The sequence below is a fragment of the Homo sapiens genome, chromosome 11 (assembly GCF_000001405.40).
Source record: "Homo sapiens chromosome 11, GRCh38.p14 Primary Assembly".
In the NCBI taxonomy this organism is placed as follows: Eukaryota; Metazoa; Chordata; class Mammalia; order Primates; family Hominidae; genus Homo; species Homo sapiens.
In genome coordinates this window covers 34742609-34757159 of record NC_000011.10, presented here as the reverse complement: position 1 = coordinate 34757159, position 14551 = coordinate 34742609, and the positions used below count along the sequence as shown (strand labels likewise).

Genomic DNA, 14551 nt, shown 5'->3' with positions numbered 1-14551 from the left:
TTAACAACAGGGATACATTCTGAGAAATGCATCATTGTGCAAACATCATAAAGTGAGCTTACACAGACATAGATGGCATAGCCCACTACACACCCAGGCTATATGGTACATCCTATTGTTCCTAGGCTACAAACTTGGAAAACATGTTGCTGTACTGAGTACTGTAGGCAATTCTAACACCATGGTAAGTATAATATTTGTGTTTCTAAGCATAGAAAAAGTACAGTACAAATACAGTATTATAATCTTATGGAACATTGTTGTATACGTGGTTCATTGCTGACTGAAACATTGTTATGCAGTGCATGACTATAACTGGACATCTGCTTGGATGGAAGGCAGTCTCTGAACAGCTTTTTTCTTTCTCATTAAAAGAGATCACATAAGTCTGGCACTACCTTTCCCCCACTCCTTCCTGCCTTATGTATGCACTTGGTATTTGGGAGTATGACAGTCATCTTGTAAACAAGAGGAAAAGATCAAGAGAATCATCTTGGCATGATGGAGGTGCTCAACTTATGCCTGCAACCACCTGCCTCCTGATGTTAAGTCAAGACAATTTTTTCCATCCTTGTTGTTCCCCTGTATTTGGAGTAGCTCAAGTAGTATGATACTCTCAGTTTTGTAAGAGTCATTGTGGAATAGGGCACCCAATCTGATTCCAAGATTTGAGAAGTTGCTTGTACACAAAAGGCACACATACCTGATTTGCAATTGTAGCTATTTAATAATTAAATATTTTTCCATGTATATGTGTTATTTTTAGTATCTATTAATTTGTTAGCACATAAATGTTATGAAGTTATATGAAACTAACTACTTAATATAACTGTGAGAATTTTTTTTGGCTTAAGACACTAGAAAGTTTACTAAGACAGAGTATACCTTTAACTAAGAGTGTTCAGAAGACCCTGACTTAAGTAATAAATGAATAAACATAAAAGGGAGGTTTACTGGTGCAGAGTGGAATGAAGAGGTCATTTGAGGAATAGCAGAGTGACTCTCCTTTGTTCTTCCTCTTAAAAAGGAGAGGCCTCCTCTTTATAAAGAAATCTTTATTTTTTTAGAGATAGATAGGGTCTCACTATGTTGCCCAAGCTGGCCTTGAACTCCTGGGCTCAAGCAATCTTCCTGCCTTGGCCTCCCAAGTAGCTGGGACTACAGGCGCATGCCACTGTACCAGGGCATGATTCTTCTTTTTTAAATGCCAGATTGTAATTGCCATATTACTTCCCACTGTGTTTATGTAACCGCGAGCTTCCGCTGCACTTTCTGCATTGAAAGAGTTTTCTAGCTTCATTGGCACCTCACAGTTTCCACTCCCACAGCCTTCTGGGAAGCATACCTCCTCCACAAAGCCTCTCTTGACTAGGAGGAAGTCTCATGATTTTTGTACTTTCCCCTTCATCTCAAACGCAGCATCACGAGCTCTTTGCACAGGCAGAAATGATAGGCTGGTGAGCTCAGCGGTATGAAGGATCTTGCCTCTCATTAGTGATTGTGTGTTTTTCCTTCTCTCTAGTGTAGATGTCTTTGTTTCAGACTATAAACTCTTAGGTGAGTGCTTGAATCAGCCAAAAGCCAACCTCATTTTAAAAAATTTGACAACTATTTGTTGAGGACCAAGTATGTGTCAAGCACATCCTTTTTGATGATGAGTTTGCCACAGACAGCCCTTGCCTTCATCTTGGCAGCCAGGGCTCCGTGAGGTGCTCTGCACCAGTCTGGGGGTACCATTCACATAGACATTTGCAGGGCATCCAGGACTTCTGCATCATGGCAGGCCTCCTGACAGATCTTTCCAATTTCTAGTGAATATGAGATAACCAAAGGCCACTGAATAAAGCAGTTTAAAGCTTAGGCTTTGGTTCCAAATTCCATCTCAATCATTTACCTGCAAGTTCACTCAATGCTCTGAGCCTCATTTTCTCACTTGGAAAAAGGAATTCTGGAGCCTCACAGAATTATTTTGAGGGTTAAATAAAGAAACATATACATAATGAGCTCTCAACACAGTAGTTGACACATATTTATATGTATATATATATATATAAAATGAGGATATATATGTTTTATATATATAATAAGGGAATATATATTTAACAAAATTAATATGCTGGGGGCTTTTGGGAACAGGCAAAATTTCAAGATAGCAGCATAATCTCCGTTAGTCAAGATGTTTACTGTTGTATCTCTAGCCTAGTCCAAGGCATAGCACATAGTAGGTGGTCAAAAAATGTTCGATAAGTGAACTTAGTAAGTCTTACATTTTCATAACTCTTTCTACATTTCAAGACATGATCACATCTGAATTTTAATTCAATTCTGGTGATAATTGTGAAAGAAGGCAAATAAGGTGGCCTTATACTGATGGAGTTATTACCAGATTTTTGGCACTGTGCTTTACGTGTATTATTTCATTTAATACTCGACTCAGCCTTTGAGTCCCATTTTATAGATAAGGAGACTGAGGCTTCAAGAAGCTAAGTTACTTGCTCAAGGTCACCCAGCTAGTCAAGTGACTGAACTAGGATTCGCCATTCAGTACATACTCATTCGGTTCCCACTGCGTGGCAGCCAGAGCTGAGGATTTCGAAATTCAGAGGTCAGGAGACAGAGACTCTCCTTAGGTAGCAAGTGAACATTTTTCTTGTCAAAGTTACTCTGCTGTAGTTTTTGCTGGAACATATTCTGGATCAATCCTGAAAATGGAAAAAAAAAAAAATAAATAAGCAGCAGCTCATATTGTTTACACAACATGTAAGGATTTCACATCCACATGTAAAATTAGTATTATGATTGCACAGTGTGGGAAACATCCAAATGAAGCATTTAGCCAAGACCAGTCCATTCAGCATGTTATGACAAGGGGTAGGCTTGGGCCAGGAGCCCTGCTGCACGTACAGAGATGTAGGGAGTTGAACAAAAGTGCAGACACTAGAATCAGTCTGGCTGGGTTTGCGTTCTGACTCCATTACTTTTCAGCTTGAAGGAGTCACTTAACTAGCCTGGGATTTAGTTTCCTCATATATAAAGTGGGATTGTGAAAGTAAGTAATTCACAACATGGATGAATCTCAAAAGCATTAGGCTGAGTGGAAGAAGCCAGAACAAAAGGCTACATACTATACAATTCCATTTATGACATTCTAGAAACAGCCATAAAACAGATCAGTAGTTATTTGGAGGTTCATGGCAAGGGGGTGGGGTAGGGGGCAGTGACAGGATTGACTATATAAAGGTGCATAAGGGCACATTGTGGAGTGATGGAAATATTTGATATTTTGGTTGTGGTGTGGCTATATGACTCTATATACATTTGTAAAAACTCATCATCTTGTACGTCTAAAGAGTGAATTTTACTGCATTTAAATTATGTCTTGATAAAACTGACTTAAGAAATACAAGTAGTTCATGGGTTCTTGCCACCACTAAATTAAATAATGTCTGTAAAGCACTTGGAATAGCACCTAGGAGAGAGTGAGCTCTCACTGTGCATTCGCTCCTGTTACCAAGTGAGTTCATTCAAGTTTGCATGTCTCTGAAATCCAACAAGAAATCTTCAGAAGGCAGGATGAAAAAAACTGAAATGTTTTTCATGAATTCTTAACATAATATTTATTACTCAATAGGAGATGGTGAAGGAAGTCAAGTTCATCAGAATAAATGCACAATCTTCTAATGTACCATTAAAAATTCACCAACTATCACCAATGTGAAAAATAGAGATGGATAATGAATTAAAATGGTATTTAATCTATACTGTTCTCTGGCTGCGTGTAATTACTTACTTAAAAATATCAAAAGAAATACCGGGACCAGTCAAGAATGCAGGCTACTCTTTCTCTCACTCTTTCCCCAGAATCAGTCCCCCAAAGTTGCATGATTTCTACAATTTTTGAAATCTCTGCAATTTTTTTGGTCCCAAAACTCTGGCATTAGCCACTCCAGCCACTCTGGGCATGATCCAGACATAGCAGTGAGATGGCCTTGGAGGTGTTGACCTGTGCATGAACCATTGTCCTGCAATCTTCTCCTCATAAGGTTGAACTTCTGGGGCCTGAGGTTGAATCCCAAGCTCTGCCACCAACTGCTGGATGATGTGGAGCAAGACTCCTATGTCTCTGTGCTTTAGTTTTCTCATCTGCAAATTCCAGGAGTAAGCCTAGGTGATCTAGAACTGCTTAACAAGCCAACTTCTAGAATTCTGCAACCTCTGGAATCAGGAGGCAAACATGCTTTGGTTCTAATCTTAATGTGTACCAGTAATAAAAATTCTCTGGGCCAGAATTTTCTTGTATGTAAGATGGAATAATAATAATACCCACCTCCACAGGCTCTCTGTGAAGAGCAAATGGATGATGTATGCGAAAGCTCCTAACAAAGTTTCTGGCCCCCAAATTGTACCTTTCTTTCCTCTCATCTTTTACTCCGTTCTTCCTTGCTGCCACCCTCCCTCTTCCCTATGAGTATAATGGACTCCCACATAATTTTAAAAATTTATATTTTTGTTCCATTTATCGAAAAAGCACATCTGGTCTTGAACTTGCATATTCATAGTGTCATATGCCAAGTACTATTGCTAGGTGAAAATGCTGGTTATTCATTAACAGAGAGTTTAAATACGTTTTTAACTATGACAAAGGTAAAATAGCTCAGAATGCTAAAACTGACCTCTTGCTCTTTTAGATACTTAAGTTGATTATCTAAAAGTTTCTTTACCCCTGTTTTTCACTTCATTCATTCATTTGTACATTCAACAAGCAATTTTTGAGCCCCTCTATATGCCTGACACAACACTAGGGACCAGGGATACATAAATGAATCAGACATTGGCCAGGCGTGGTGGTTTATGCCTGTAATCTCAGCACTTTGGGAGGCCAAGGTGGGTGGATCACCTGAGGTCAGGAGTTCAAGACCAGCCTGGCCAACATGGTGAAACCCCGACTCTACCAATAAAACAAAAAGGGCTTGGTGGCACGTGCCTATAATCCCAGCTACTTGTGAGGCTGAGGCAGAAGAATCGCTGGAACCTGGGAGGTGGAGGTTGCAGTGAGCCAAGATTGCACCACTGCGCTCCAACCCCAGCAGAGCAAGACTCCATCTCAAAAATAAAATAAAATTAAATAAAATAATCAGGCATTGTCCTTAAGTTCCAAAAATTGCCAGGTGAATGGAAGGAGGCACAGGGGATATGATAGAAGTCTGTTGAGGATACATTAGGGGCCAAAGAAGGGCATAGTGGGTTCTTCCAGAGAGCAGTCAGGAAAGCCTACACGGAAGAGCTGAGGCTACACTCAGGTCATGGCAGATGAGTAGATGTTCATCAAATCAAGGTGCTGAAGAAGGAAACAGCATGCAGAGACAGCAGGATGCACAAAGGCCTGAGTGTGTGCAATAGCCTTGTATAATCTGGCAAGTGCACTTTGGTTGGGGTGGTGGGAATGTAGGGTACAGAGTGGTGAACTCCATGAGAGAAGAAGCTGGGAGTCCTAGAACAGTTCTCTTTGAGCAAATGCTGACCTGCTCAGGACAAAAGGACATCAGATGCTGCACAATTGTTGGTGGCAACAGAAGAACAACTCACCAAGTCCTAACTCCATTGCCCACTATTCACACCGGCCGGCCACAGCTCTGTTGCCTGCGATGGGTCTGGAAACACTTCTCTAGGGTTTTCCTGGGACTCTACAACACTTGGATTGATTTCTTTCTGTATCAGGTCATACTCCTTAGAGGCAGCACTAAATGGAAGGCATTTGTTTAAATTCTGATACCTTGATTGAATTTTTCTTCATAACAGGACCAGATTTTTCACTGTCTGCACATTCATTGCTCAGGCACAAGATTAAGAAATAAATTTGTTGTTTATAAGATGAGGACCCACAATATTCAGTAAGGAGAGATGAGTTGTCAACAAGGGAATCAAGAGTTATCAAATGTCTAAAATGTGCCAGATGCTTTTTAACTTTTTCACAACCCAGTGTGGAATTTAGATATTTACCCCTCTGATTACAAATTCATACTCCTTCCACTTATACCACCTTGCCTCCAAGGTCTCTTCTCAAAGAGCCTTTGCTTCCAAGGAGCCAAAAAGAAAGGAAAGTGAGGAGAAGAAAGTGGTCTTCCCTTCTCCTAATGTCTTATGGAGGCTGCTGATAAACAAAGACCCAGAGTTCCAGTTTAGATTTATGTGAGGGAAAAGTCTAAGGCTTGGAGCTAATACAAGAGCATAGCTAGACTATCTTGGCTACCTACAAAGTTGGGAAAAGCACCACAGACACTTTGGCTCCTAGTATTAAGTGGAAACATGAAGAGAAAAGAGTTCGCTTACAGATATAGTGAAGTTTTGGAACAAAGATAGATAGAAAAGAATGTAGCAAAAGAAACAAAAAAAATTTCTTCTCTTTCAGAACCTATTCCTTTTGCCTATTTTGCAAAGAGAATTTTCCCCCATTAAATGGTATCATTCTCCTTATTTTGTCTACCTTTTTCATTCTTTCCTAGATTCCTTTCTTCTATATTTCTTTATTCCTTCTTTGCATTCTCCCTTTTCTCCTCTCTCTTTTTTTCTTTCTTGGTCCTTCAAGCTCTTTCTTAAAGTTCAAATTGAAATACCAGCCTTAATCCCTGGGAAGCAGCTCTGTTTTCCCTGCCATGGCATTGCACAACTTGTGGTGTGGCTCGCTGCCACCATTAGCTGTGCAGTGAGGTTTTATGTAGCCAGGGAACATCTTGTACAATGCAATTTTTTATCAAAACCAAATAGCATAACAATGCATACAGGGCTTCGTTCACCTCAACTTCATAAAGATTTCACTATGATAAAAACAATGAAGTTGACATCTAAAATCCATCTCTCTTTGAAAATAAATGGCCCCAGTGCCTCTCCCTTCCCTCTCCACCCTTCCCAGGTCCCCTTCCAAAGCCCCCACTTGCTCACCGACCCCCCCTTCTTATCATCAAGTGCTTCCTTTGGCTTCCAACTGTTCAGGTTTCACCAGTCTGGTGACCCATTAGGACAGGGTTGCACCACAATGGGGTGAGGCTAGACGAGAGGGGAGGAAAAGTCCTGCGTGGAAAGTCCCAGTGAAGCTGGGTTTGACTCCCCTACAATCATAGCCTCCATAATCCTGGCAAAGTAGGAACGACTTAGAGATAAGTACAGTCAAGTGTCACTTAATAACGAGGATTTGTTTTAAGAAATGTGTAGTTATGTGATTTTGTCATTTACACACATCATAAAGTGTACTTACACAAACCTAGATGGTATAACCTACTACACACCTAAGTTATATGGTATAGCCCATTGCTGCTAGGCTACAAACCTGGACAGCATGTTGCTTTATGGGATACTGTAGGCAATTGTAACACAATGGTAAGTATTTGTGTATCTAAGTATATCTAAACATAGAAGCAGTACAATAAAAATGCAGTATTATAATCTTATGAGACCACCATCATATACACAGTCCCTCATTGACTGAAACGTCATGACTGTATTCTTATTGCAGGGATCAGGACAAGAGTCACAGGCAGGAGCATCTACAGAGCTGAGCAAGTTTCAGCCCCTGGTTCAAGACGGGCCTGGCCCTGCCCATCAACATAGAGGTATCCTTAGCCAGGAAACTCCAAAGAGAGGAACAGGATGCACTTAGTCAAGATCAGGATGCAGTGAGTTGAGAATGCACTAATTTGAGAGCCCAGGATTCATGGCTCAGGCCAGGTTGTCATGGTATTAGACCCCCAGAAGGCAACGATAAAGGACAGGCTTTTCTCCCCACCAATTCCTTCCAAGTGATCCCCAACAATAGGGCTAAATGGGACTCAGAGCTTTCTCTACCTTGAGAGAATCCTTGCCTTAAACTCCCAGAAAAGCCACAGAGCTCCCAACAGGAAGGTTTCACACTGTGTCCTTGAGCATGGAAACAAGTTCTTCAATGCCAGATAGGTAGGAGGGAGGGCTGGAAAAGGAGATGGCTTGCTAAAGGCCAAGAAGAATAATTCCCCAGAGAGAAAGTCCTTGTTCTCTTTCCTACAACACAGGCTAAAAATTGAACCCCCTACCTGCCTAATTCGTGGATACCATCCAACCATTCATTCACTTATTCATTTGTTCAAGAAATAGTCAATGGGGTTCAACCACACATTAACATGATTTCATTACTCTGGGAGGAATGAAATTTATGCCAAAAAAAAGTGCCTGCTTTCATCGAGAGGAATAAATATTTAAAATAAATAAATACATAAAATCCACTAATGATAAGCCTGATGATGGGTTTTGCAGGTTTTTTGGTTTAAGAAAAACAGGGTATGAAAAAGAAATGAGCATGGGGAGTATGTGGCTACTTTAAATTACGGTGATCAGGATGGCTTCTTTGAAGAGGTAGCATCCAGGTGAGACCCACATGAGTAGGAGGCAGGGAAGGGCATTCCAGACAGAGGGAAAGGCAAGAGCAAAGCCTCGGAGACAGGAGCAAGCCTTGCATGTTGGAAAAATGCAAAGAAGTTTTGTTGAGGCTGGAGTGGGGTATCAGAGGAGTGGAGGGTGTGCAAGGAGGTTGTGGAGGCAGGGACCACCTCCAGCCTTCCTCCTGCCCTCCAGGCCACTAGGCCCATCCACAGTTCCCTGTGCCTTTACCCAGTGGCTGGGTTGATCCTGTTAAAGTTCTATCTGGGGCTGGTTTGGAGGGCCTCTGGCTTCTACTCTGTGGAGAGGCCTCTTGGTTCTATGCACCCTCCCAGGAAAGCCCCAGCCCCTTACCTCCCTGCCCAAGCATCAGACACAGAGATTAGTGAGTGATTTCTCTGGGTGTCAGCCCTTGGGTGTGAGATTTAAACCCTTAATTCCAAACCATTACAACATGGGTATCCAATTGCCTCTGATGACTTCAAATCATGATTTGCTTGTGTGTGCCAGACATTTTGTCAACGAAGGATTTCTCTGCCGGCTTCAGTTTTAAGTGAGTCTGCTGTTTACTGAAACTCCAGCCTAATTAAAAACACCCAGACAAATGACAGAATGAAAGGGCATAGAATACCTCAATGAAAGTCTCCGTGAAAGGGTTTGTGGGCTCATCTAAGGAAAAGGAATATGAAAGTGTGTGTAGTCAAAAAATGATGAGTTCATGTCCTTTGTAGGGACATGGATGAAGCTGGAAACCATCATTCTCAGCAAACTATGGCAAGGACAAAAAACCAAACACCACATGTTCTCACTCATAGGTGGGAATTGAACAGTGAGAACACATGGACACAGGAAGGGGAACATCACACACTGGGGACTGTTGTGGGGTTGGGGGAGTGGGGAGGGATAGCATTAGGAGATATACCTAATGCTAAATGACGAGTTACTGGGTGCAGCACACCAACATGGCACATGTATACATATGTAACAAACCTGCACGTTGTAAAACTTAAAGTATTATAATAATAATAATAATAAAGAAAGTGTGTGTAGTAGGGGACAGAAAAGGGACGCTGTTAAGAGCCTGAGCTCTGGACTCTGTCTGTCTGGGTTCGAATCTTGGCTCTGCCACTTGCTAGCTGTGACTCTGGGCTGATTACTACCTTCTCTGTGCTTCAGTTTCCTCATCTGTAAAATGCAGAGAGCAACAGTGTCTTTAGTGTTGTGATGATTAAAGGAGTAAATACATAGGAAGCACTTAGAGCAGTGCCTGGCAAATCATAAGGACTCAAAGGTTGTTCACTTTTATTGCTATGGGTGTGTCGTAAAGCTGATGTGGTCCTAGCTTTGTGTTCGTAATGGCTCAGTTCAGGTGGTTGGAGCTGGAGGCACTGGAGCTAAGACTGTGGGCTCAGGGCCTCAAGTCCCTAGAATCACACCACACTTCCAAATCATTAAGCTCACACACACAGGCCTTTGGTCCTAGAGGGAAAAAATACAAAGATGTAGACAGTGCATCACAAATTCATTCTTCCTTTTGGAGAGAAAAGCTCCAGGCCATGGTGGTGCATGAAAGATAATGCCTGGCGCTGTGTGAGAGAGGCTCTGGATGTGGCGCACTGACTCACTGGGCCACCAAGAGAAATCTAGTTCCCAGAAAGTTAGGTCTAGGTCTGTGCTTTCAAAATTCAAAACAAAAAATTTTAAGCAATTGACCCTTTAATTCAAATGAAATTTCACCAGGAACCTCAACATATAAAACTGATAGAAGAGTCAAAGAACCCCAGTCTCTCAGTCACCCCCTTTCTTTTTCTGACGGTCCCCGAAAGAACTGTGAGGAACATGATTTTAAAAAGACACTGACTTAACTATCAAAACCCCAAGAGAAGAAGTGTGCATCAATTCCCGCAGTTATATACCCTCTAATACTTCTATTAATTAAATTAAAAAATAATATATGTACATAGTTTAAAAAAGTAAAAATCATCTCAAAAAGCAGCAATGTCTGCTCTACTCCTTCCTACTTTTAGGTTGCTCTCCCCAAACGCAACAACTCTCAACCTTTTAAGCCGTTTCTTTGGAATTGACCTTTCTTTCTTTAAATAATATGGTTATACTGCTAGTTCTGGATTTTTCCATTGTAGACATTTCTCTTTTGTTACTCTATAGTGGAGGATAAAATTTATCTCTCTTCATCACCTCTATTTTGCTCTTCCTATATCTCTCCACAACATGACACTTCCCCTCCCCTATTCACTCATATATATCAACTTTTTGTTAATTCAATATTTGCTGTTTACATGATAATATCTATGAAAATATTGTTCACAGATGAGCCACATAATGTACTGTGGTTAGTTTTCCTTTCGTGAACATTTTTTCCTATTTTTCCTCTGCTTGGTTTTGTGTACCTACAATTAATTAATCCCAAATTCTCACATAGGGCTATAAAACTCCTAATGAAGTCAAATCTACCATGTAACTAAAGAGTTTCATGTTTTTTTGAGGGGGGGTGCAGTATATCCCTCTTGGAGATGCTTGGTCTTCCTCCCATAGTCTAGATGGGTTGCTCTGTAAGTCAGCGGTGCTGCTATTATTCTGGTCTTTCTTTTGCTATCATCCTAAGAATACTCTGAGCTTTTCTCTTGAGTTAAATACCAGGATCCTGGATTCCATGGTTTAGTTTATTCCCCCTGCCCCCACCCCACCCCTATTTTTAGGGAAGTGCATCCTCTAGTATCTTCCCAAGAAGAGCTGTTTGGGAAGTGACTATTTGTGGAGACCATGCATGTCTGAAAGTACTTTTATTATATGTTCACCCTTGATTTATGGTGGGCAGGTCAATCTTCTTCTTTATTATCAGCTTAGTGGCACTTGTTAGACCCATGCATTTTGGTCTTTGTCCAAAAGTTGAAGAATAGTTGTGTATTTAACCCTACACATGGGGCAGGATCCTCCAGCTCACTTGTGAGAGGACTCCTGGAGACATAAATACCTGATGCTGCGTGTGTGACATACAATCTACAGCAAGATAAGGCAAAGATAATTAATACCCTCCTCATCTGCCATCATGTTTTAACTTAGCAAACACTTGCAGAGTACCTGTACTCTGTGCCATGTACTGTGATCAATGCTGGGACGTGTTTAGGATTGAGATGATTAATTAATATATATTTATTTTGACAGGTTCACATGGAGCCCTCAGGCCATATGGCAACATTAAGACTTTTCTGTCAAGCTGCTCTCTTCAACTAGGTCAGTTTCCCTCACTTCAGTCAGCAGAAGCCAAACTCAATAGATAAGCCTGCCAGGAAAAGGACATAACAATGAACACCAGCCTCTTGCAGGTGTCACTCAGCACACAGTACAGAAGACCTATTGTCTAGAGTTGAGGGGCTCCGAGGGGTCAGGCGAAGCTCAGCCTCAGCTTCTCAGACAGTGAATGTGCCAGAAACTCTGTGCTCTGCTCCAGGCGAAGTCCATGGAGCTTCTGGCAAATGGCCCATTCCTCCTAAGTGAGCCCAAGTGGAGGGGATCTCAGAGCAGGAGAACAGGATGAAAGATAGCAAGAACAATGACAATAATAATAGTTGTTTTTATTGTTGCTACTGAAGCCAGAAGAGATATCCCACTTTATCTTATTATTGATTTATTTATTTATTTATTTGTTAAATTTTTTTGAGACAGAGTCTCGCTCTGTCACCCAAGCTGAAGTGCAGTGGCGATTATAGCTCACTGCAGCCTCAGCCTCCTGGGCTCAAATGATCTTTTGACCTCCTCAGTAGCTGGGACTACAGGTGCATGCCACCATGCCTGGTTAATTTTTGTATTGTTAGTAGAGACTTGTCATGTTGCCCATTCTGGTCTCAAACTCCTGTGCTCAAGCGATCCACGCACCTCAGCCTCTCCAAGTGCTAAGATTACAGGTGTGAGCCTGGTCAGAGAAATATCACTTTAATGTGATTAATTGGAACACTAGCACTGTGCTAGGGACTCAGCAACATTAAGACATAACACTCACTTCTGCTTTGGTTCCCACAGATGTTTTTCATTAGCAGTAAGTGAAATTTCAAGAAAGGAATCGAACAAAAGGTAAAGATTACTGCAGTAAAAAATGCAGAAAAAAATCTTTTCTGACCCTGCCACACTACTGCTAGAATTTATCCCAAGGACATAATGAAAGATGTGAGATGTTACTGCTAGAAATTATGAAGTAATGAAAGGTCTGAGAAAAGATATAGTCTTAAAGATATTTGCTGAAATGTTTCTATAAAATTAAAACATGAAATAGTTTAAATATCCTTCTCATTAAAAATTTGGGTAGTATCCTCATTCAATAGAAGACAGTCTATTTTAATGACTATGTAGTCATTAAAAATATATTCTAGAAATGTATTTATTGATGTAGAAAGACATATGTACAAATACATATATGTGTATACACATATTTTGAAAAATATCTGATAGCAAAAATACCAACATAATATATTACATATTATTTTTATACATATACCTATACATCTTCAGAAAAAGATATGAGGCTGGGTGCAGTGGCTTATGCCAGTAAACCCAGCATTTTGGGAGGCCAAGATGGGCAGATCACTTGAGGTCAAGAATTCAAGACCAGCCTGGCCAACATGGCAAAAACCATGTCTCTACTAAAAATACAAAAATTACACAGGTGTGGTAGCACATGCCTGTAATCTCAGCTACTAGAGAGGCTGAGAGAGGCAGGACAATTGCTTGAACCCAGGGGGCGGAGGTTGCAGTGAGCCGAGATTGTGCCACTGCACTCCAGCCTGGGTGACAGAGCAAGGCTCTGTCTCAAAAAAAAAAAGAAAGATATGATAGGAAAACATCAGAACAGTTAAAAGAGGTTATCTCTGGGTTGGTGGAGTAATTGTCAGGTTTTTTTTTTCTTTTTTCTTGCTTATCTATATTATCCATGATAATCTGACTTTACTTTTGTAAGAAAAAAAAGAGGTATTTTAACTATCTAGGATAAAGAAGAAAGGAAGGGCTTCAGCAAGCCAAGGACAAACCTTGAAGGTGGCTCTCCAAGGTGTATGGAGAAACTATGTGTGTGTATATATATACACACACACACACATATATACACACACATATGTATATGTATACACTGTTATGTGTATATATGTATATATACACATATATGTACATATGTATACATGTATATACATATATATGTATATATACACATACATATGTATATATACACATACATATATACATATATATGCATATACATATGTGTGTGTGTGTGTGTGTGTATATATATATATATATAATATATATAAAATGTTGGCTTAAACAACAGAAATTTGTAGTTTCATGGGCCTAGAGGCTAAAAGTTCAAGATCAAGGCTTCCTTCTAAGGTGTGAGGATGAATCTGCTCCATGCCTCTCTCCTAGCTTCTGGTGCTTGGCTGCCAGTCTTTAGCGTTCCTTGGCTTGTAGGTGTATCTCCTCGACTTCTGCCTTCGTGTTAACACAGTATTCTTCTCATGTGCATGTCCATTTCTGGGTCCAAATTTCCTCTGTCTACTGCTTCCACATCAAAGCAAAACCTCTTCTCAATGGAGTCTGTTTTCTTCCGTGTGCAGGATTTGAGGGTAACTGATTCACAGTCTCCCTATTTCCTCCTGACTTTTGGTCAAATGGTACCATGGTGATTTGTTTGGAATCCCATTTATATATACATACAGTAGTGCTTCACCCAAGAAGTTCCAAAGTGATGTTTCTCCTGCACATAGAGGTATCCCTCCATGGTGTAGGAACTGATGGTCTTGTGCTCAAGGGGATTTTCCTTCATCTTTTTCATCAGTGATTCCTGGCCTGTGGCTTCCGACTTTTTGGAGCACGGACTTGAGTAGACCTGGCTTCAGATGGCTAAGAGATTAAGTTTTGGCTGCAGCTATAAGGGTCTAGGCTGCCCACATAAGGTTGGTGTGTCAGGGCTTGGCTTTTGCTGTTGCAAGAAGCATCCAAGCATCAAACTTGGAGGTAATAGAGAGGTCATCTCCCATCAGCAACCTTTACAAAGATGCTGATCTGGTAGATGAAACTCTTTCTTAGTGCAGATTATAAAAACCTTGCCAATAGTCCTTAACTGTATTTCATCTGCCTT

The 14551-nt window shown here is 40.8% G+C and overlaps 1 long non-coding RNA gene across 1 annotated transcript in view; it reads right to left on the bottom strand.

The window, feature by feature from the left end:
- Window positions 1–14551, bottom strand: part of LOC102723568 (uncharacterized) — a 185086-nt gene that overhangs the window by 120520 nt on the left and 50015 nt on the right. The window contains exon 6 of the long non-coding RNA XR_007062652.1: window positions 2553–2702. This is a non-coding gene — a long non-coding RNA (uncharacterized LOC102723568). The remainder of the gene's footprint in view (window positions 1–2552; window positions 2703–14551) is intronic.